The 24,336-nt window shown below is 41.9% G+C and overlaps 1 protein-coding gene and 1 pseudogene across 9 annotated transcripts in view, besides 2 other annotated features; one reads left to right on the top strand and one right to left on the bottom strand.

The window, feature by feature from the left end:
- CREBBP (CREB binding lysine acetyltransferase) overlaps window positions 1-24,336 on the top strand; it is a 155,660-nt gene that overhangs the window by 38,220 nt on the left and 93,104 nt on the right. The gene's annotated exons all lie outside the window — the stretch shown is intronic.
- On the bottom strand, window positions 1,484-1,966 carry DPPA3P6 (DPPA3 pseudogene 6; annotated as a pseudogene).
- Window positions 19,421-19,920: an enhancer, noted in NCBI's record as "H3K4me1 hESC enhancer chr16:3872575-3873074 (GRCh37/hg19 assembly coordinates)". NCBI's record gives its function as "activates a minimal SCP1, AML or CMV promoter by ChIP-STARR-seq in primed H9 embryonic stem cells {active_cell/tissue: H9 hESC(primed)}" and the evidence as "EXISTENCE:reporter gene assay evidence [ECO:0000049][PMID:30033119]".
- Window positions 19,921-20,422: an enhancer, noted in NCBI's record as "H3K4me1 hESC enhancer chr16:3872073-3872574 (GRCh37/hg19 assembly coordinates)". NCBI's record gives its function as "activates a minimal SCP1, AML or CMV promoter by ChIP-STARR-seq in primed H9 embryonic stem cells {active_cell/tissue: H9 hESC(primed)}" and the evidence as "EXISTENCE:reporter gene assay evidence [ECO:0000049][PMID:30033119]".

Genomic DNA, 24,336 nt, shown 5'->3' with positions numbered 1-24,336 from the left:
TTAACATTTCGTCTTATGAGGGGAGCATGTTCTTGTTTTCTACTGAAAATAACTCATACACTTGTCCTCTAGAAAGAAAGCAAAAAAGACCAATTTAGGTAGGATTTAGAAGCCGTACAGACACTCTCTTTCCTGGCTACGGGTGTTGAGAGATGTTGCTTGACACAGAGATGACAGAAGGAAGCCAGAAGCTGGTAGAAAGAGGAAGGTGTAATTTCGGGTCAAGGGGTCCGGAGGCATTCTGATTTTAAGGTTGATAAGAATTTGTTTTTGTGACCTTAGAAATCTTTTAAGTACTTTCTTTTAACTAACAAATCTGAAACGTGACCAAAATAGTTTGTATGGTAATCCATCTTCATAGGGGGTCAGATTAGGGCTTATTTTTTGAATAAAGTTTTTGGAATATTCGTCTTTTTTAGAAAGTGGTCAGAAAACCCCGGGGTTGATTTTTGACTGGAGGTGTTCCTGGAGTAAAAGTTTTAAATTAGATCAGCTCCCAGTACTCAGTCAGCCATCATTTTGGTCAGATACTATAAAGCAGTGATTCCCAAACTTGAATATTCAGCAGAGTCACTGCAGGCTTGTCAAGACAGATTTCTGCCTCCAACTTACCAAGTTTCTGATTCAGCAGATTTTGGTTGGGACCTGAGAATTTACATTTCTAACCAGCTCACCGGTGACCGTAATTGTGGTGGTCAGGGACCACACTCTGAGAATCTGTGCTCTAAAGGAATGGATTAGCAGAATATAGTCAGTAAAGAATTAATAGAACCAAGTTGGCTAAGAAATGACTAATCTACCTTCTCTATTTTGGGTAGATTATTGGAAATCTCTAATATTATTTATTTATTTTGAGACAAGGCCTCACTCTGTCACCCAGGCTAGAGTACAGTGGCGTTATCATGGCTCCCTGCAGCCTCGAACTCCTGGGCTCAAGCAGTGCTCCAGTCTCAGCCTCCTAAGTAGCTGGTACTATAGGTGTGCACCATCATGCCTGGCTAATTTTTTTGATTTTTTTTAAAAAATTGATTCTCTTATATACACCTTTATTTGTACTAAAAATTGTAAAAAGAGCACAAAGTTTCCTCTTATTGCAACCCAAATTTTTCTTATTATTACGCTGTAGCCAAACTACCCAATGCTTTCTTTACCCACAAGTGACTTTGCTTCAAATTCTCGGTGTTGGGTTTCATCTCACTGGCTTTGGGCTTCTAAAACACATGGGGATGCTTATGTCCTCTTGGCTTCGAGTCAAATTAAGCAGTAGAGCTGAAGTATACTGAAGTTATTCAGATACGTTCAAACTACACAGACCCCTTATACATCACTAGTATCATGGTAGAAAGGAAAAGATACAAGAAAAATACATCCTAGAACTCATTATCAAAATTTTTGATATATAGTCTATTGTAGCATAAGGTAGCTTTCTCAACCTGCTACATAAAATTACCAGCAAGAAAAAAAAGTACAAGAATAAGGTTTATGGCTGAAGTGGCTCAGTGTTGTAATTCCCTATTCTAGCACTCTCAAAAGTACCCCATCTGTTACACATGCAGAAACTGCAGCAGCATCTGAAATGTCCACTTCTTGATTCATTCTGAACTCCCTTAAGCCCAGTGTTTGTTAGTTCTCGTTCAAGTCTAGGAACTCTGCCGAGTAACAGGTATCTCAATTTTGCCATCCTTTCTTTCTGCATAGACAGGAGTGTTCTTAAATCTTCTCCTGTAAAGCAAGTCATCTCTGATTTCCCTGAGGATCATTGCTCCCGTATACTGTTGTTGGGGTGAGCCTTCTGGTAGAGGGGAAGAGAATTTGGTACTAGGGTTGATAGTCAAGTTACTAAGGTTCTTTATCAACATCTCAGAGCAGAAGTTTTGAGAGGCCCCTGAATCGTCCTGGGAATTTTCTTCAGTGAGCATTTTTGAAGACTGGGACCAGGGTTGGATTAAACTTTTGTGATGGGTCCATTGTGTCTCAACACAACACTGAGCTTCTCCTGGATCTTTGAAACCCAGCAGAAACTGTTGCTGGACTCTCAAATTGCCACAAGGTAGACCAGAAAGAGCCTGAAAACCCGAACTCCAACCATCTTTTTCTTTCCTTTTTAATGCAGACATGGTGTTGCTATGTTGCCTGGGCTGGTCTTGAACTGAACTCAAGCCGACTGCCGTCTTGGCTGCCCAAAGTGCTGGGATTACAAGTGTGAAACTATCATGCCTGGCTGGAATTTCTAATATTTAATAGCAAGAGAAATAATACTGTACATTTGTCTGTTGCTTTTCACTTTTTCACGTGAAGTCATCTGATTCTTAACACAAAGAAATAAGGGAATTTTATATTAAGCATATCTTAATTTGGCCTCTTAAAAGATCACAACAAAAATAGTTTGTAGAATGAAACTATGTAGTGCCATGAATTAATACAGGGTAATGTGGGATGTATATAATTCCTGTGGGCACAGCTGTTTAGTAGACATGTTAAGTAGCCTAGGACTGGCTCAGGGATCTTATTATGACTCTAATGAGAGATGATCATAGGTGTCCTATAGAATGTATGATTCAGGATGTACCTACCTTCCCATGATAATTAATCATGAATTTCTTTTTTCTTTTCTTTTCTTTTCTCTTTCTTTCTCTCACTCTTCCTCTCTCTCTTTCCTTCTCTTTCTTTCTTTCCTTTCTTTCTTTTCCATTCCTTTCCTTTTCCTTCCTTCCTTCCCTTCCTTCCCTTTCCTCCCTTCCTTTCCTTCCCTCCCTTCCCTCCCCCTCCCCCTCCCCTCCCCTTCCCTTCCTTCCTTTTTCTTTCTTTCTTTCCCCATAGTTTCACTCTTGTTGTCTAGGTGGGAGTGCAATGGCGTGATCTCGGCTCACTGCAACCTCTGCCTCTTGGGTTCCAGCAATTTTCCTGCCTCAGCCTCCTGAGTAGCTGGGATTACAGGCATGCGCCAGCATGCCCAGCTAATTTTTTGTATTTTCAGTAGAGACAGGGTTTCACCATGTTGGCCAGGCTAGTGTTGAACTCCTGACCTCAGGTGATCCGCCTGCCTCAGCCTCCCAAAGTGCTGGGATTACAGACATGAGCCACCTCACCCAGCCTTATGAATTTCTTTTTTAAACTTTTTAATTTAATGAGATTGCATATGTATATTAAATGGATTGACACGCACATAGTAGTTAGTGTACTTACTGCAGCAGCAGTAGTAATAGCGGCAGCTCAGACTGCCTTCTGCAGATGTAGTGGCTAATTGCTTTCAAGCCTGGCGTGGGCTCTGGAATAAGCTGACTCAGTTCACATCCAGGGTTCACTAATTATTAGCTATGGGAAACTTATTTAATCTCTCTGGGTTTTAGTTTTTTTGGCTTTTAAATGAGGATAATAGTAGCTGCCATTGAGAATTGTTCTATCAATTAAAAATGGATAATAATCTCTATCTTACAGAATCGCATGCCAATTAAATGAGATGGTGTATGTAACATTCTTAGTATATGCATAGGTTTACTGAAAACCTTCCAGAGAATATTGAGTAGTGAACTAGCGAGGTGCTGTGCCACATAAAATATTTGAGATAGCCACACAACATTTGAAGTGATAATGAGACTGCTTTTCTAATGTTTTCCGAAAACATTTTTTGGTAGTGAAAGTAGCTGTTGAGCTTGGTGGCTCATTCTTGTGATCCCAGCTACTTGGGAGGCGGAGGTGGGAGGATTGCTTTAGGCCAGGAATTTGACACCAGCCCGGGCAACAGATCAAAATCCTATATCAACTTTTAAAAAGTTGATGTTTGTTATACAAAATTAGCACAGAAATGTCTAGAAAAGAAAATCTTGCCTGTAAGCCTATCATCCAGTCATACTTAGCGCTAAAGAAAACATACTCCTGATGTTTTCTCTACCAGTCTTTTATCTATAATTATGTATCTTTTTTAAAGTCAAAGTTGGAGTAGTATTTCCAGTTAACTTTTTGGCTGATTATTTTCTGTAACACAAACGGAATGAATGTTTAGCATAATAACAACAATGAAGATTTTCATTTGACATGTCTCCCAGGGGACCATCTTGAAGAGTAACTTAGGCATGTGTCACTTGATGGGGGTGAAATGCATCATTAAGTGATTATGTTATGCTAGGAACATCATAGAGTAGTTATGCAAACCTAGATGGCATAGCCTGTTACACACCTAGGCTATATAGTGTACCCTGTTGCTCCTGGACTATAAATCTGTACATCATGTTACTGTAATGCATACTTGGGCAGTTGTAACACGGTGCCACAATGCTAAGTGTTTATAAACCTAAACATTTCTATACATAGAAATGGTATAGTAGAAAATACTGTATAAAAGATTTAAAATAGTACACCTGACCAGACACTCAGTCCCATGCCTGCAATCCCAGCACTTTAGGAGGGTGAGGCCGGAGGATCACTTGAGCCTGTGAGTTGGAGAACAGCCTGGGCAGCATAGATCCTGGTGTGTGTGGCAGGGGTGGGCGGGTGTGTGTGTAAAACACACCTGTATAAGGCATTTACTATGAATGGTGTTTGCAGGACTGGAAGTTGCTGTGGATGAGTGAATGAGTGGTGAGTGAATGTGACAGCTGAGAACGTTGCTGTACACTGCTATAGACTTTATAAACACTATATACTTAGGCCATGCTAAATTTATTTATTTTTAAATTTCAGTAATAAATTAGCTTACTGTAACTTTTCACTTTATAAACTTCAGTTTTTTAAAAACTTTTTTATTCTTTTGTATTAACACTTAGCTTAAAACACTAAACACATTGTACAGGTGTACAAACGTATTTGTACTTATTCTATAAGCTTTTTCTATTTTAAAATTTTTTATTATTTATTTATTTATTATTATTATTATTTTTTTTGAGACAGTCTTGCTGTGTATCCCAGGCTGGAGTGCAGTGGTGCAATCTCTGCTCACTGCAACCTCCGCCTCCCGGGTTCAAGCAATTCTCCTGCCTCAGCCTCCCGAGTAGCTGGGACTACAGGTGCATGCCGCCACGCCCACCTGATTTTCTGTATTTCAGTAGAGACGAGGTTTTACCATGTTGCCCAGGCTGGTCGTAAACTCTTGAGCTCAGGCAGTCTGCCCGCCTCGGCCTCCCGAAGTGCTGGGATTACAGGTGTGAGCCACCGCGCCCGGCCAGTTCTTTAATTTTTTAAACTTTTTTGTTAAAAGCTAAAACATAAATGTACACACATACACACAGACACACACACACTAGCCTAAGCCTGTACAGGGTCAGGATCATGAATATCACTGTTTTTCTCCTCCACATCTTGTCCCACTGAAAGGTCTTCAGAAGCAGTAACATGTATGGGAGACTGTCATCTCCTATAATGACAATGCTGCCTTCTGGAATACCGCCTGAAGGACCTGCCTTGAGGCTGTTTTACAGTTAACTTAAGAAAAAGTAGAAGGATTATACTCTAATAAGTGTAGTAAATACATAAACCAGTAACATAGTCATTTATTATCATTATCGGCTATTATGTACTATACATAATTGAGCCATGCTTTTATACAGCTGGTAGTGCATTGATTTGTTTACACCAGCAGCATCACAGACACCTGAGTAATGCCTTATGCTATGACAGTTTCAACAGCTACTACGTCACTAGGCCATTGGAATTTTTCAGTTCCATGGTAATCTTCTGGGACCACTGTGTATGAGGTCTGTAGTTTACTGAAATGTTGTTATGCAACACATGACTGTTCTTGTACGAAAAACCATTATCTTCGTTGCTTTATCAACTAAAGGTAGCTATTAAGATTTGGAGTTAAAGACCTACCTATATTTTTAAAATATTTTTATTATTTTACTTTGATTATTTTTGGAGTTGTAATTTATATAGCATGAAATGCACAGATCTTATATTTGTCAAAACCCTTTACCCATGTAACCCACACCCCTATCAAGATTCAGGACATTTCTCTTAGCCCAGAAAGTTCCTTTGTATGCCTCCCTTTTTCTGTCCCCACTCATCCCCCGACAATTACTGCTAATTTCTTTTTTTTCTTTTTTTTCTTTTTTTTTTTTTTTTGAGACACAGTCTCGCTCTGTCACCCAGGCTGGAGTGTACTGGCGCAATCTCGGCTCACTGCAACCTCCACCTCATGGGTTCAAGCGATTCTCCTACCTCAGCCTCCCGAGTAGCTGGGACTACAGGTGTGCACCACCATGCCCAGCTGGCTTTTTTCTTTTTGGTAGAGATAGGGTTTCACCATGTTGGCCAGGCTGGTCTCAAACTCCTGACCTAGTGATCCGCCCACCTCAGCCTCCCAAAGTGTTGGGATTACAGGTGTGAGCCACCGCGCCCAGCTGCTAATTTCTGTAACCATGAATTGCTTTGCCTGTTCTCAGACCTCACGTAATGGAATCATGTAGTGTGATGACTTATAGTATGTGCTTTTTTATAAGGCTTCTTTTGCTCACAACTTGTTTTCTGAGATTCATCCACGTTGTTGGCATGAACTAGTTCTTTTTTATTGCTAAATGGTATTCTGTTTTGTGACTAGAGCATAATTTGCTTGTCCGTTCTCCCATTAATGGACATTGGGGTTGTTTCCAGTTTGAAGCTATTAAGAATAAATCTTCTGCCGGGCGCGGTGGCTCACACCTGTAATCCCAGCACTTTGGGAGGCCAAGGCGGGTGGATCACAAGGTCAGGAGATCGAGACCATCCTGGCTAACGTGGTGAAACCCCCATCTCTACTAAAAATACAAAAAATCAGCCAGGTGTGGTGCCAGGCGCCTGTAGTCCCAGCTACTCGGGAGGCTGAGGCAGGAGAATGGCGTGAACCTGGGAGGCGGAGCTTGCAGTGACCCGAGATCCCACTACTGCACTCCAGCCTAGGCGACAGAGCAAGACTCCGTCTCAAAAAAAAAAAAAAAAAAAAAGAAGAAATCTTCTGTGAGCATTTTTGTACAGCTTTTTTTGTGGGCATAGAAGTTTTCATTTCTCTTAGATAAATAACTAGCAACGAAATTCACTGTACAAGGAGGTGTCTGTTTCTGGACTCTGTAGTCTAAGGGCAAACTATAGCCCATGAACCACATCCAGCCCCATGACCTGTTTTTATATGGCTTGCCACGTAAGGATGGGTTTTATATTTTTTAAGGATTGTTTAAAAAGAAAACAATCTGGGATGGAAACCGCAGGTCATCTGCAAAGACTAAATTATTTATTAACTGGCCCTTCATAGAAAAAAAAAATCCCTGTACCTTTGTTCTAGTCTGTTCTATTGATCTATTTTTCTATTCATTTAGTTTGTTTTTTAAGAAAAGCTTTTTTGTTTGTTTGTTTTGTTTTGTTTTGGAGAAGGAGTCTCGCTCTTTTGCCCAGGCCGGAGTGCAGTGGCGTGGTCTCGGCTCACTGCAACCTCCACCTCCCGGGTTCATGCCATTCTCCTGCCTCAGCCTCCCTTAGTAGCTGGAACTACAGGCGCCTGCCACCATGCCCGGCCAATTTTTTGTATTTTTACTAGAGACGGGGTTTCACCGTGTTAGCCAGGATGGTCTCGATCTCGTGACCTCGTGATCCGCCCGCCTCGGCCTCCCAAAGTGCTGGGATTACAGGCGTGAGCCACTGCGCCTGGCCCAAGAAAAGCTTTTAAAGATTTTGGGTTTTTTTAGAGTAGTTTGAGCTTCACAATGAAATGAAGGTACAGAGATTTTCCATCTATTCCCTGTTCTCCTAGTTCATAGTCTCCTCCATTTTCAACATCCTCCCCAACTCCGCTGTCTAGAATGGTACAGTTTGTCACAATCAATAAACCTATATTGATACATCATAATCCGAAGTCTGTAGTTTACACTAGGGTTCACTCTTGGTGTTGTACATTCTGTGGACTTGGACAAATGTATAATGATGTGCATCATTGTAGTGTCATGCAGAGTATTTTCACTGCCCTAAAAGCCGTCTGTGTTTCACCTCTTCATCCCTCTCTCCTTCCCAAAACCCTGGCAACCACTGATTGTCTCCATAGTTTTGCCTTTTTGTAAAGTTACAGTCACACAGTGTGTAGCCTTTTCTCATTGGCCTCATTCATTTAATAATATGTATTTAAGGTTCCTCTGGGTCTTTTCATGGCAATTATCCCTTTACCTACTGAAAGACTTCATGGTTGCTTCCAAGTTTTGGCAATTATGAATAAAGCTGCCATATACATCCATGTGCAGGTTTAAGTTTTTACCTGTTTTGGGTAAATACCAGTGAGCACAATTGCTGGATCATATGGTAAGAGTATGCTTAGTTTTGTGAGAAACTGCAAAAATGTCTTCCAAAGTGTCTATATCATTTTACATTCCCACCAGTGATGAATGAGAGTTCCTGTTGCACTACATCCTCGCCAGCATTTCGTGTTGACAGTGTTCTGGATTTGGCTGTTCTAATAGGCAAATAGTGGTATCCCATTGTTGTCATTTGCATTTCTGTGATAAGATGTGGGTCATCTTTTCATACGCTTATTTGCCATCTGTGTGTCTTCTTTGATGAGGTGTATGTTAAGGTCTTTGGCCCATTTTTTAAACAGGTTGTTATTGTTGAGTTTTGAGAGTTCTTTATATATTTTTGTAAATAGATCTTTATCAGATGTGTTTCTTGCACATATTTTCTCCCAGTCTGTGGATTGTCTTCTCATTCTCTTGACATTATCTTTGAAGGGGCAGTTTTAATTTTAATGAAGTCAATTTTATCAATCACAAAAGTTTCATAGATGAAACTTTCATAGTTGTACTTTAGCTTTACAGTAAGTATTAAAGTCAGGTTGCTTAGTTTCTCGTTTTCATTTCTGTTTAATTCCTAGGTTTTACACCATTATTTGTTGCTAGTATGGAGAAGTATAATAAATGTTTCTGTATTAATGTTGTATCTTGTAACCCTGCTAAACTCACTTATTAATTCTATAAGATGTCTTAGAATTTTCTGGGACATGTTGTCTGAGAATAAAAATAGCTTGCTTCTTCCTTTTTCATCTGTATGCATTTTATTCATTTTTCTGGCTTTAATGTTCTGCCTAGGACCTCTAGTACAATGTTTTGTTTGTTTGTTTTGGGTTTCTTTTGAGATGGACTCTCACTCTGTAGCCCAAGCTGAAGTGCAGTGGTGCTATCTCGCCTCACTGCAACCTCCACCTCTGGGGCTCAAGCGATTCTCGTGCCTCAGCCTCCTGAGTAACTGGGACTACAGGCTTGCGCCACCACACCCAGCTAATTTTGTATTTTTAGTAGATACGGGGTTTCACCATGTTGGTCAGGCTGGTCTCGAACTCCTCACCTCAGGTGGTCCGCCCATCTCAGCCTCCCAAAGTGCTGGGATTATAGGTGTGAGCCACCGTGCCTGGCCAGCACAATGTTTAATAAAACCAATGACAGTGTTCTTCCCTTGTCTTATTCATGATCTGTGGGAAAAAAGCATTCAGCCTTTCGTTAAGTATAATGTTAGTTGTAGGCTTTAGGTATCATTCATTAGGATGAGGAATTCTGTTTCTAGTTTGCTGAGTCTTTTGATCATAAGCGATTACTGAATTTTGCCACATCTTTTTTCATTTATTGAGATGAATCATAGGGTGTTTTTTTTTTCTTTGAATGTGAATTACGTCTTTCTGAGTGTTGAACCAGCCTTGCATTCCTGTGAGATAACCCCACTTGATTGTGGAGTGTTATCTTTTTTATATGTTACTGGATCAGATTTATTAAAATATTGTTCAGGATTTATGCTTCCACAGTAATGTGCTACATAACGAATTTTGGTCAGCAGCAGACTACATATACAACAGTGGCCCCTTAAGACTATAATATATTTTTACTGTGCCTTTTCTATGTTTAGATACACAAATACTTACAATTTTGTTACAGTTGCCTCCAGTATTCAGCACAGTAACAAGCTGTACAGGTTTGTAGCCTGGAAGCAGTGGGCTATACCATACAGCCTAGGTGTGTAGTAGGCTACACCATCTAGGTTTGTTTAAGTACACCCAAAGTGTAAGTTCCCACAGTGACCAGAATCACCTAATGACACTTTTCTCAGAAGATGTCCTTGTCTTTGGGCGAAGCATGATTGGTATATTCATGAGTGATATGGGTCTATAACTTTCTGTTTTTTTGGAGTGTTCTTATTTGTTTTTGATAACAATAATATACTGGCTTCATGAAGTTACCTGGGAATTGTTCCCTTTGTTCTGAAAGTTCATTTAAGATTAGTATTATTTATTCATTAAATGTTTGATAAAATTCACCAGTGAAGCGATCCAGGTCTGGAGTTTTCCTTGTGGGAAGGTTTTAAAATTATGATTCAGTTACTTTAAATTTGAATAGCTAATAGGTATTAGCTATTCAAATTTTCTGCTTCTTGTGCTAATTTTGGTAATTTGTATTTTTGAGTAATATATCCATTTTAAGTTCTTGAATTGATTTGGCATGAAGGTGTTCATAACATTTCTCTACTCTTTTCTTTTTTTTCTTTCTTTTTTTTTTAACTGAGTCAGAGTCTCACTCCGTTGCCCAGGCTGGAGTACAGTGGCATCATCTCAGTTCACTGCAGCCTCCACGTCCTGGGTTCAAACAGTTCTCCCACGTCAGCCTCCCAAGTAGCTGTGCTTACAGGCGCACACCACCATGCCTGGCTAAGTTTCGTATTTTTAGTAGAGGAGGGGTTTTGCCATGTTGGCCAGGCTGGTGTCGAACTCCTGACCTCAAGTGATCCGCCTGCCTCAGCCTCCCAAAGTGCTGGGATTATAGGTGTGAGCCACCATGCCCGGCCTCTGTACTCTTTTCTTAATTTGGATAGAATTTATAATAATGTCTGGTGTGCTCTCTTGTTTTTCTCTCATTGATCTAGGTTGGGGTTTGTCCATTTTATTAATATTTTCAAACAGCCAGCTTTTGTTGTTGTCAGCCTTTTCTTGTTTGTTTTCTATGTCATTTATTTCTGTCTTTATTTTCTTCTGCTTATGTTGGCTTTTCTTTGGGGTAGAAGTTTGTATCACTGGTTATTTAGACTTTTCCAATATTAACATTTGGGCAATAAATTTCTCCTTAAACCCTATGCATCTTTTTTATTTCCCCATTTCTTTGAATCCTTTAAATCCATAAACATAAAAAAGTACCCCAAATACTGTTGTTAATTGCATCTCAAATTTTAATACATTTTTTAAATTAGTTTAAAATATGTTTATATTTTACATGTGATTTATTCTTTGACCCATGGATTATGCTGAAGTGTGTTTAGCTTTTAAATATTTAGGAATTTTGCAGATATTTTATTGTTGGTTTTTAACTCCACTGTGTTCAGAAAACATGCTTTGTATGGTGGTTGTCCTTTGAAATTGAAGACTTGTCTTACGGCCCAGCAAATGGTTTTTCTTGACAAATATTCTATCTATACTTGAAAAGAATGATCAGGCGCAGTGTCTCATGCCTGTAATCCCAGCACTTTGGGAGGCCAAGGCGGACAGATCACTTGAGTTTTAGACCAGCCTGGCCAACGTGGTGAAACCTGTCTCTACTAAAGGTACAAAAAAAATTAATAGCCAGGCTTGGTGGTGCGCTTCTGTAGTTGCAGCTGCTTGAGGGGGCTGAGATACAAAAATCGCTTCACCCCAGGAGGTAGAGGTTACAGTGAGCTGAGATCGCGCCACTGCACTTCAGCCTGGGTACGGAGCAAGACTCTGTCTCATAAAAATAGAATGTGTATCCTACAGTTGTGGGATGTGATGTTTCATAATTGTCTATTAGAATAAGTTGGTTGATGGTGTTCAAATCCTTATGATTTTTTTGTTCTATTGGTTACTAAGAGAGGATTATTAAAATCTACAATTACAATTTTAGGTTTGTCTGGTTTTTCATTTAGTCAGAACAAAATGTAAGTACTTGTTTCATGTGTTTTGAAACTGTTTTATTAGGTTAATATGTATTTTGGATTGTAATGCCTCTGGTAAATTTAGCCTTTTATCATTATGAAATATTTGTTTTTGTTAATATTCTTTGTCTTTATCTCCTTTTTCTCATATTTAATGTAGACTCCTTATGATTAGCATTCACATTTTTTTTTCACTCTTTTTGTTTTGTTTTGTTTTGATACAGGATGTCACTCTCACCTAAGCTGCAGTCCAGTGGCGCAGTCTGGGCTCCCTGCAACCTCTGCCCCCCACCCCGGGTGAGGTGATCCTCCCACCTCAGCCTCCTGAGTAGCTGGAACCACAGGCACACACTACCACGTCTGGCTATTTTTTTGTATTTTTAGTAGAGACAGGGTTTCACCATGTTTCCCAGGCTGGTCTCAAACTCCTGAGCTCAAGCGATCTGCCCACCTCGACCTCCCAAAGTGCTGGGATTACAGGCATGAGTCACCACACCCAGCCCACTCTTAACTTTGTCTCTTAAGTATGTCTCTTGTAAGCAGCGTAGCATTAGATCTTATTTAATTTATTCTGATAACCTTAGTCTTTTAATTGTAGTGTTTAGTTTATTTATATTTAATGTTGATAATTGTTGGGTTTAGGTTTCTCATCTTATTTGTTTTCTGTTTGCTGCTTCTGTGTTTTGTTCCTTTTTTTCTCCCTTCCTGCTCTTCTTGTAGAGGCAAATTCCAACATCTCTGTCATCTCTGTATCTGTTTCATTTACAGTCTTGTTTGTTTAAATATAGAATTCCTGGTTATGGGTCACATCTTCCTGCTCCTTGGCATGTCCAGTACTTTTAGACTGTGTAGTGGAAATGGTGGATGATAATGTTGTTGAATATGGGTTTTATTGTCCTTTATTAGTTTGTTTTGTTCTGGCAGGCTCTTAATTACTCAGATCAGTTTGATTCTCTCAAAGCTTGTTTTTAAACTTAACTTAGGGCAGGTCTTGAAGCCCTGTTCCTTAGACATGGCCTTGGGGTCTCAGTTTAATTCCTGGGATGTTCAGCAAGATCTTGAAACTCCGACTGATCAGAACTTCTATGTCTCTAGCACTGTGCCACCTCTGGAATCTGTTCAATTCACAATTCCTTCGTAGTCCTGCACACTTAGTTACAGCTCCAGTAAGCCCTAGGAGGTGTTGGTGATGTGATTGTTGTGTGTGGTCGCACTGGGAGATACTCTCCATTTTAATGGTGTGAACGTAACATTATGATATATAATGGTTGTCCCGTAGTGACTGTGTATTTCACACTTTAAACGTTATCTCTCATCTTCTGAATCGTCTGAGGATTAAGTTCACTGTAGAAACTTGGGAAGTGCCACATCTAACATTCTTAATGTAAATGGGTCCAAATCATAACTTCAAGGACCAACTTTTCCAAAATATTTTTGCTATATTTTAAAAAGAGTTATATTTATACAAATTACCATAGACAGTAATTTGCTGTCCATCTGTCACCAAGTTAAAATATCTAAGGGTTTTTATGTTGATTACCATGTAATTTTTTTTTTTTTGCATTTTTCAAAATTATGTATATGACTATAGCATAAAATTTCAGTGTGATCCAGGTATGAGCAAGGATAACAATTACTATATTTATTCTTCCTGAATAACAGTAAGAGGAAGAGCAGAAAAGGACATGCCTATTGTACTGGGCACTGTGCTGGGTGCTTTGCAAACATGATCTTGCTTTTTCTCATTTTTAATAATCCTGTGAGGTGGGTGCCATATGTCTTTTATAACAAGGAGTAAAATATTCTGAACCACTTTCCTGCCTATGCAGAAAATTATTCAAGACGACACATGTTTGAAAGTGGTAGAATTTTACTTAAAATCCACCTGTGATTGACTCCAAGCCTGTATTTTTTTCGACTGCATCATTTTGTCTGTAATACAGCTGTATTCAAACTATGATGGTGAAATACATAAGACCTTATTTTCTGTGTGTGGGTCAGGTTTTCCCCCATGCACGAAATTTATAGAACAGGTAACCTGGAGAGTGAGTCTAATTTCCCAGGAGTATTTTTGTCAAATGAAAGAATTTACTGCTTATTCCTTTTTAGAAACATACCCTTGTATGCTGTAAGCTTTGCCTGTGGTCTGATTGGGTTATGGCTCTTAATCTGAAATACTAATTCAGCCAAGCAATTTTTGTAAGACCCATAAAGAAGTCAGCTTTCGACGGGCATGGTGGCTCACGCTTGTAATCCCAGTACTTTGGGAGGCCGAGGCGGGTGGATCACCTGACGTCGTGAGTTCGAGACCAGCCTGACCAACATGGAGAAACCTCATCTCTACTCAAAATACAAAATTAGCTGGGCATGGTGGCACATGCCTGTAATCTCAGCTACTCGGGAGGCTGAGGCAGGAGAGTAGCTTGAACCCAGGAGGCAGAGGTTGCGGTGAGCCGAGGTTGCGCCACTGCACTCTAGCCTGGGTGACAGAGCGAGAGACTCTGTCTCAAAAACAAAACAAAAAAAAAAGAAGTCAGCTTTTCTGGCTAGAAAAATGTGCCTTGGCCTATGTGCAAGAGGCCAGCATAATTAATTTTCTTAAACATTATTTTTTAAAGTGATCTTGGCCAGGTGCAGTGGTTCACACCTGCAATCCCAACACTTTGGGAGGTTGAGGCAGGAGGATTGCTTGAGCCAAGGAGGTTGAGACCAGTGTGGGCAACACAGTGAGACTCCATCTCTACAAAACATTTTAAAAATTAGCTGGGTGTGGTGGCACGTGCCTATAGTCCCAGCTACTCAGGAGGCTGAGGTAGGAAGATCACTTGAGCTCAGGAGGCCGGGGCTGTAGTCAGCCATTGTTGTATCACTGTACTCCAGCTTGGGCTACAGAGAGACCCTGTCTCTAAAAAAATAAAAAGTAAGTAGCCAGGCATGGTGGCTTATGCCTGTAATCCCAGCACTTTGGGAGGCTGAGGTGGGTGGATCACGAGGTCAGGAGATCGAGACTATCCTAGCTAACTAGGTGAAACCCCGTCTCCACTAAAAATATAAAAAATTAGCCGGGCGTGGTGGCGGGCGCCTGTAGTCCCAGCTACTCGGGAGTCTGAGGCAGAAGAATCTCGTGAACCTGGAAGGGGGAGGTTGCAGTGAGCCGAGATTGCGTCACTGCACTCCAGCCTGGGCAACAGAGTGAGACTCTGTCTCAGTCAATCAATCAATAAAATAAAAAGTAAGCAAGATCACTTTTTGAAAAATATTTTTCTTACATTATGGTAGCAAGGAAAGGTTTGATTTTTATGTTCTGAGTTTTTTAAATTTTCAACACAAGAACAAAGGATAGTATAACCAACATCTGTGTTTTCATTAGAATTAATGCCTGTTGATACTTATCACATTTCCTTCATAGTTTTTTTTTTTCTTTTCATTTTTTAAGTAGACTTAAATTTTTTTTAGAGAGATAGATCTTGCTATTATGTTGCCCAAGCAGTGGCCGTTCACAGGCTCAATTATAGTGTACTACAGCCTTGAATTCCTGGGTTTAAGCGATCCTCAAGCCTCAACTTTCTCAGTAGATGAAACTACAGGCGGTGCAACTGACTGAGTAGACTCTATGTTGAGAACAGTTTTAGATTTACAGAAAAATTAAAAGATAGTACAACAGGGTTCTTTATCTCCTCCCCACCATCCACGCACTTCCTATTGTTAGCCTCTTACCTTTCCTGTGTTGTGTTTGTCATAAGTAATGAACCAATACTGATACTTGTGATTAACTGAAGTCCATACTTTAATCAAATTTCCTTTAATTTTCCCTAATGTCCTTCTGTTGTGGAATACCATCCATGATACCCCATTACTTTTAATCGTCCTGTCTCCTTAGGCGCCTCTTGATTGTGACGTTTTCTCAGCCTTTCCTTGGTTTTTAATGACCTTGACAGTTTTGAGGAGAACGAGTCAGGTGTATTATAGGATGCCCCTCTGTACAGATTTGTCTGATGTTTTTCTCATGGTAAGACTGGGCTTATGGGCTTTTGAAAGGAAGATCTCAGCAGCCAAGGGCCATTTTTACCACGTCACTTTGAGGGTGCGTTGTGTCATGGTGACTTTACCACTATGGTTGATGCTGCCCACAGCCACCTGGTTGAGGTCGTGCCTCTCAGGTTTCTCCACTGTAATGCTCCGCTTCCCTCCTCCATGCCATCCTCTTTGGAAGGACTCACTATGTTTAAGGATAGGGGGTTTATATTCTACCTTCTTTAGGCAAAGTGTCTACATAATTTATTTAGACTTCTTCAGTGTGGGAGATCTGTCTCTTCATAGTTTTTTACTAAATGAAATCAATTTTAACAGGATAAATGAAAGTGTCTTTTACATGATATGTATTCATCTTGCTCCCCGCCCGCCGAGACTGGGTCTGGCTCTGTCACCCAGGCTGGAGTGCAGTGATGTTATCTTGGCTCACTGCAGCCTTTGCCTCTGGGGCACAAGCAGTCCTCCTACCCCAGCCTCCTGAGGAGCTGGGACTACAGGCTCATGCCACTGCACCCGGCTGTTTTTTGTAGAGATGGAGATTTGCCATGTGGCCTAGGCCAGTCTCAAACTCCTGAGCTCAAGCAATCCACCTGCCTCAGGCTCCCAAAGTGCTGGGATTACAGGCATGAGCCACCATGCCTGGCCTCATCTTGCTTTTTTAAGAACAGTATTAAAATTCATACATAAAGATTTGATTCATTTATTCTAACCTGTTCATATGATTATGAATTCTTCCTTGTATTTTTTTCCGTTACAGTTTTCTCTATGCTTTTGAAGATACACAATGACATTTTAATGAAAACTTTGTCTCTTATAAGAGGTTCAAATGGTGTGGCTGAATCTCAGAAACAAGAGATTTTGTCTTAGTAATTTTTAAAATAAAGGCAAAGTTACTCACAAATTAGGTTTCCCCCCAGCATCTTTAATCATCTTTGATTACTTGATAAAAAATGCCTTCTAACTGTGATGTAGATCTCATTTTCTTTTTTTTTTGTCAGAAGAGGACTGAACCCCTTTTCTGAGTGCTCTACTGAGGCAAAGTGTCCAGAGCCCTCCACTTAGAGCTGGGAACTGAATGTCAGTGACATTTTCTTGCCAGCAAGTATAAATGCTTATCAACTAATTGCAATTCCAAGGCCATACTTCCATAGATATACATCTGTGTAATTATTACATATTTTTGGATAAGAATGTGGCACTGTGGTTTGTGGCTTTCAAAAAATGGCGCATGGTCTGAAGTAGTGTGATTGCAGGGATTGCATTTTTATTTACTAAGTAAAAACTTAATGCCCTTAGCAGTGAGTCATATTATTCATTTCATGTTTTTCTACCAAGTAATGAAGAATGAACTGGAAAACAAGCCACCTGAAACTCTTCCTAGAACAAAGCAAGAGATAGATAATACTGAGAAATGCCAACTTTAGACATTGTCTTGCAGTTATTGACTTTAAATTATTGTAGTAAGGATGCATGCCTGTTTTAAGTACTGTAGAAAGTCTGTTCATTTTATAGAATCCTGTCTCATGTTAGAGATTTTCTGTGCTCTATTTTTGCAAAGAGATCTTAGAGCCACCTCAAGATTGCACAGTGCTTTGTAGTTTTCAGAGCATTTTCCCATGTGCTATCCCATTTAAACCAGAAACCACAAGTTAGAGCGGCCCTGCGTGAATGGCAAACAGGAGTGTATATATCAGCGATGAGTGGGCACACTGTTGAGGCACAGGGAGTGATTGAGGCGTAGAGATTGGGGACAGTGCAAGGAGGGGACTGAGTGTGTTTTCTCCCCTAAAAACCTGGCACATTTTGCTTAGAGAGTTACAGTAGAACGGGAAGCACCGGCCTGCTTGGCAGTTGTAGTCTCCAAGTTGACCGGGTATGGTTCAGCCTAGGCGTGCTGCTGCCGCCGCGTGTGGGCTCGGTGAGGCAAAGGCGTGTGGGGATGGGAGTGGCCAGAGGTGGGAGGCCATCACTCTTGACTTGAGTCCATCAGGATTTGAATGCAGAGATCAGAGCAGCGTTTGTTCCTGTCTGTCGATGTTATGAGTGATGCTCTTCTGAGACAGTGCTTGCCTTCTGTGACTAACCATCAGTATGAATAACCAGCTCTCTCCTGAGCTTTCCAGTTTCCGTGTTCATTTTAATTAACACTTTAGCTCTGTCAGTTAACCCCCAGCCAGGTGGCTGCACATCCTACCACTTTTTTGTGGACATTTAGATTATTTGATTAGAGATAGACTTTGAAACTGCAAGATTCATGGCTATCCAGGCCCATCCCAGAGGTGTTTTTCCCCATTCCTGTTTATGATGAGGTTGCAGAGGCGTAGCCTCGGTCAACTGTGTCTGTTACCATTTAGCTCGCCTTTGCAGGCCCAGCTCTTGACCCCCTTGTTTGCCTCCCAGTCAGGACCCCTCTCCCTTTTGAAACTCCATTTAGCAGTCGATGTTGGTGGCACCTGTTAACCGCACATGTCTGATTTCCTTGTGGCTTGTGTCTCTTACCTTTGGCTTGGGAGAACGTGGCCCTGTGTGTGTCACCACTGCACAGTACCTCCCTCCTGAAAGACTTTAACACACTTCATGTTCCTAGATGAGTGTGTGTGTGTGTGTGTGTGTGTGTGTGTGTGTGTTGCCACAGCCTTTTCAACTTCCAGTGTCCTAAAGATAAGAGCATCACTGCTGAAGAGAGCTAGGGGCGGGTGGCAACGTGATAGCTGCCTAGTGGTCTCCTTGCTGGGAAGGTCTGCTGCTCGATAGGAACTGTCTGACTAGAAGTGTGCCTTGCCATGGAAACTTGGGAACTAAATGCATTCAGGTCCATCCCTCATGCTCCAGTCTCTTGCTTGCTGCTCCCTGAAGCTCAGGCCAGATAGATCAGGATGAAGGGGCATCCCTTGCTGCCTAAACTTTGAACCAGAGTTCAAACAGCAGGGATCATTGTACCTTTGTGGTACCAAGAGCCAAACGTGGGATGTCTGAGGAGAAAAAGCAGAAGCTGTTAGAGCCACGCCTGGCTTTTTGTGTCCTGAGTAGGTGTCGACCTTGTTTGTTTCTATTTTCTTTCCTCCCGCCCTCCCTGCAGAGAGTGGTGGGCCTGTGCTGAGGCTCCTTGAAATGTCTTCTAGCCACAGGTATAAGGCATTCGAGCAAAGCTTGACAGGTTACGCGGCCACGTTGTGACCAGGGCAAATTTGATTTCAGTTACCACTCAGCGGCAATCTCTGTCACCAACAGTTTGATCTACCTAGTTTTATTCAGTGTTTAATGACAGTTTAATGTTTTAAGTAGAGTTGTGCAGCCTAACAGGGTCGTCTTGCCATTTTGGGCACTCAGAATGTTTGAGTAGAGAACGACTTTAAGAAACAACTTTTCCTCCTTAAAATAATGCTTTGTATAGAGAATATGAGTCATAATAGAAAGTATTAAGAAAGAACATTTGCTTACAAGCCATCCAGAGAAATCACTATGAAATATTTTGGTGTTCTGTCCTCCTTGCTGTGTATAGGTGTGTGTTTTATGGGGATTATACATTTGTGTCCTTTTTTTCTTTTTAATTTTGTAACTTAGAAGGAACGTTTTCTCTGTCAGTAATCAGAGTCACCTTTGTGGTACCAGCGGTTCCTTATGTTGACCTCACCCCTCTCCCTTTTCTAGGCGCTTCCTGTGTATTCTCTCGAAACAAGGCACAGAGACTGCAGCGGACTGAGCCAGCTCCTGGCTCCCTCAGCACCCTTCCCTGTTTTGTCTCCTCGCTGACATCACCAGTCAGGAGGGACGACTGTATTTAAGAGCACTTTACTTTGCTAATTATGTTTTTGTTAGGACTCTGTACACCTCAGCTTTTGTTAAGAGGTAGAGCCACATATTTTTGATAACAATATATCTTTGAGTGTGCTTTACACTTTTAGATTTATGGCATTTAATAAGCTGGGCAAGATCTTCTTTGGCTGCTGCAGTCCTCCTCTTGCCACTGAGGTCCAGGAGATTCGCCATGAGGAGATGACACAGAACCCTCAGGCAGCCTCACGTCACCTCCCAGGGCTCATCCCACGAGCTGTTCTTCCTGCTCCCACAGTAGAGCTGACGGCCTGCCCAGTTCAAGAATTAGTTCTGTTTTCCTGCCCCAAAGTAGAGGAGGAACACAGTCCTCTGAAATGTCATCTTTCTTTCTCCTTTAAATTTTACTAGAAATAGTCAGTGGCTGTCTGTCTTAAAGCCTTGTGAGTTCTGTCCGATCTTTATTTCTCCTTTTCTCTGAACCGTTGCGTTACCTATACACATTCACGCCTTCCTTTATTGCCGCCTCCTTTACTGTGCGTTCTTGACGTCCCTTTTTATGAGTGAGTGGAGTGTAGATCCGTGGAAAAAGGTGCTTCTCTGCCTTGCATGAGCGCTCTATGTGGAAGGTCTGGGGAAAACATCGGGTGGCTTTGTCAGGTGACTTATTGAGGCCCTCTGTCCCGCTGGGCCATAGTTGGATTGCAGTGTAAATTAATTTCGTCTTTACAAAGATTCACTCTTTTGTGTGTGTGTGTGACAGAGTCTTGCTGTGTTACCCAGGCTGGAGTGCAGTGGTGCAATCTTGGCTCACTGCAACCTCCTACTCCCAGGGTTCAAGTGATTCTCCTGCCTAAGCCTCTCCTTAAGCGATTCTCCTGCCTAAACCTGTAGCTGGGGCTACAGGTGTGTGCCACCATGCCTGGCTAATTTTTGTATTTTTAGTAGAGACAGGGTTTCACCATATTGGCCAGGCGGGTCTCCAACTCCTGACCTCAGGTGATCCACCCGCCTTGGCCTTTCAAAGTGCTGGGATTACAGGCGTGAGCCACCACGCCCAGCCAAGATTCAGTCTTTATAGAATAAAATTTTTCTCACATTTTTTATCACCTTTTCTTCTTTTTTCCTCTTTTTCCATTGCCCGTGTGAAGTTGGCTTGGATTGGCATGAAAGGGGCACTTAATCCTGAAGAGAGTCTACTCTTCTACCTAAAAAAAAATATTAGGACTTAAAAGAATTAGGAGAAACAGTGCCTTCAAATTTTATCTCCCTTTTCTTGGATCATTTTGCCTCAGATTAGCTGTTCTTTGTGTAAAATACTCTGGGAAGTGGTGTCCAGGGTGCGGGGCTATGGAATCCCAGTCACTGGGCAGTGGGGATGGAAGACCTTGCTCCACGAACTCCCCAGTCTCCTGGAAAGGCTGCTGGCCATCCACTCTGGGCCCCACAGGGAGGATTGCCATGGTGAGGGCCTCCCAGTCCAGGGGTTGACAGTTAAGTCTGCAGACTCAGAACCCTCAGTTGTCACTCACTGCGAGTAGCAACATCTCCCAGGAGTGTAGCCTTTATGTGAATCAAGCACTGATGGTTTGAAATAAAAAATGTCATCAGATTTTTAGAATCAGAAAGAACTTTAAAGATCACCTAATGATAATCTAAATGCTTCCTATTTTATAGATAAGGAAAACTGAGGGACCAAGAGGTTTGTCCCAGTTACATGGCTGATGAGGGGCAGAAACAGGATTAGAAATAGTTTCTCCAGTGACCTTGACCCGTCGTTTTTGCTTATGCATTAATGCAGACTGCACCTTGGGGAACCAGCGTCTCTAACTGTAGGGACCTGCCAAGGTGTACCAATAGTATTAGGGTGCCGGTTTCACTGCTAGAAGTTTCTGGAGCAGTTGGGTGACTAACAGTGAGGATACAGGCCTGCATTTCCACTCTTCTTCTAAGTCACATTCTGGTCGTGGCTGTGTGTGTGTGTACACAGTGGCTCAATTATGGATCACTACATCCTCAACCTCTTGGGTTCGAGCAGTCCTCCCACCTCAGCCTCCGAAATAGCTGGGACTACAAGCACACGCCGTCACACCTGGCTAATTATTTTTTGTAGAGAAGGGGGTTTTGCTACGTTGCCCAGGTTGGTCTCAAACTCCTGGCCTCAAGCAATCCTCGTGCCTGGGAGGATCTTAACCCAAGAAGACAAGGAATGCTTCTTGAAAGACATTATCCAAATGAAATACAGTGAGAGTTGCTAAATACTTTGTTACTAGTCTTCCAGTTAGGACTTATCCTTCCAGGGCAAATGTTCAGACCTGGGGGCCGCACATTTTCCTGAATGCATTCCAGGTTGGCAGCACATAAGACTTCAATTGAGGGGGAAGGTGGGCTGTTCACCTGCCCAGGTGCTTTAGCCCAACTCTCCTGCCCCAGGTGCACCCTGGACAGCCAAGTGCTGTCTGTGGCACTGTAATCAGTGGCGTATTTCTCCTTACTCTATATTTACCAAGTTGATATACTGGAAGGATTCCAAGAGCAAGCGAGTGATAGCAGACAACTGAATGCAGTCATGTCTTTCCATGAAAACTGCTTTTCTTGGCTTTCTTCCAACAATGGTAGGTTGCCAAGAGAAAATGCTTTTGGCTTTACAAATGATCTGGCCGTAGTCTGGGGTGGTTCTGGTTCTTTATGTCATTGAAAATGATAAATATTTCTGGCTATTCAATTATTTAGCAAACTTTTGCTCTTGATGTACTGAACTGTGTTGTTTTTTTACACCTTATATGAATTTGTGGTTTTACATGTATACCAACTTGTGGAGAAAGATGCTAAAAAAACTCCAGCTTGAAAAATATGTCAGGTTAGGCTGAAGCCACATCAAATGGAAGTTTGTTGCTGTGTCGTGGCTGGCTTATGAGTGGTAGTTGCATCCATTTCTTTTTTCGTGGGAGTGTTCTTTCATGTTCAGTTCTTCTATGTTTTGGTTTAAATTTTAACCCAAGAATGTTAGGCTAGGGTATTTTAATCATATGTCATTATTGCTTATGATTTAAGTTTGAAATAAACACCCTGAGTTTATTGTTCTTAAAGCTAAAAAACAATGTAGAATGAAAACTGGAAACGCTTATGATTTACCAGGACAATTAGAAAATAATGGCCTTTTCAGAGTATTTCTACAAATAGCAAATGCACAAGATTGTTGTTGTCACAGTGTTTTTCTGAAAATGTCCCATAATCCAAATGCCAGTAATCCCAGCCGGCCTCTCCCTATCGTCCTACATGTTGGAACCACTCTCCACCATTACACGTTCTCTGTAAAGCATTCCTTTATTTCATTACTGTTTAAGCATGGTCAGGAAAGAAATCATATGTAGTGTAGAATGATTGCTCCCAAAGCTGTCTCTCACCTCCTCACCCCTAGTACTCACTGTCGCAGCTGCTCATCTTAGTGCTTCGCATATAGGAACTTGTTTAGTTCTCACGCAACCCTTAGAGGAGGTGCTGTGATCTCCATTTTACAGATGATAAAACCAAGGTGCAGAGAGGTTTAAGTAAATCCCTAGCAAGTGGTGGAGTCGCCATTCAGATATCCCCAGAGCCCACATAGTTGACCGCAATGGCATGTTGCCTCTATGGATGAAATTGTATTTGTGGCTGTGTTCCAATAAGAAAAATTTGGTTTTTTCAGAAAGAGGCATTGGGCTGCCTTTGGCCCACAGGCCGCACTTTGCCACCCTGTTTTCATAGACAGATCCTGTCTCTGTCCCGGCTACTGGCGTGAGGCCGGTGAACTTGAAGGAGACAGAGTTGCGTTAAGCGGGGAGGTGATGAGCCCCCGTGCAAGGGTGAAGCCTCTAGTGGGGGCTGTGGGGAGCGTCTGCTGAGTTCTCAGGCTGATTTAGTGTGTCCCTGCCCTTTCCGGGGGGCCCCTTCCTCACCTATAAAGTGGTAGGTTTTAGCTAGTCTTATTTCTCCACTTGTCTTTGCAAAGCTTATTACTGAACATCATATTTTGGTTCCTTTTTGTGTGTTTTTGACCAGCATCAGTGACACCCCCCAAAGCCCACTTCCTCTGAGTGGTCTGCTGTGTATTGTGGCTTGAGGCGTGTCTTGAGGTGTGAGGAAAACTGCTGAAGTAGTCAGCTGCTGCAAAAATGGACTTAGTGGGCTCCTCGGAACCACCTTAAGGCCAGGTGCGGTGGCTCACGCCTGTAATCCCAGCCCTTTGGGAGGCCAAGGCAGGCGGATCACTTGAGGTTAGGAGTTTGAGACCAGCCTGGCCAACGTGGTCTTTAGTAAAGATGGGGAAACCCCATCTCTACTAAAAATACAAAAATTAGCCAGGCGTGGTGGCACGCGCCTGTAGTCCCAGCTACTCAGGAGGCTGAGACGGGAGAATCGCTTGAACCAGGGAGGCAGAGGTTGCAGTGAGCTGGGACGGTGCCACTACACTCCAGCCTGGGCAACAAGAGTGAGACTCCATCTCAAAAAAAAAAAAAAAAAAAAAGAAAAGAAAACCTAAACATCAAACTCGGCACTTGTTGCACTGAGAGTTTCTGATGGCCTGGCCGACTCTAGGTCAAGTTCTGCGTCGCAGTGCCATTTCTGGCCGTCCTCCTCCCCGGCCCCCCATTGGTCACATGGTGGCCCCCT

Source organism: Homo sapiens, chromosome 16, assembly GCF_000001405.40.
Source record: "Homo sapiens chromosome 16, GRCh38.p14 Primary Assembly".
Lineage (NCBI taxonomy): Eukaryota > Metazoa > Chordata > Mammalia > Primates > Hominidae > Homo > Homo sapiens.
This window is presented reverse-complemented; position numbering and strand designations above follow the sequence as displayed.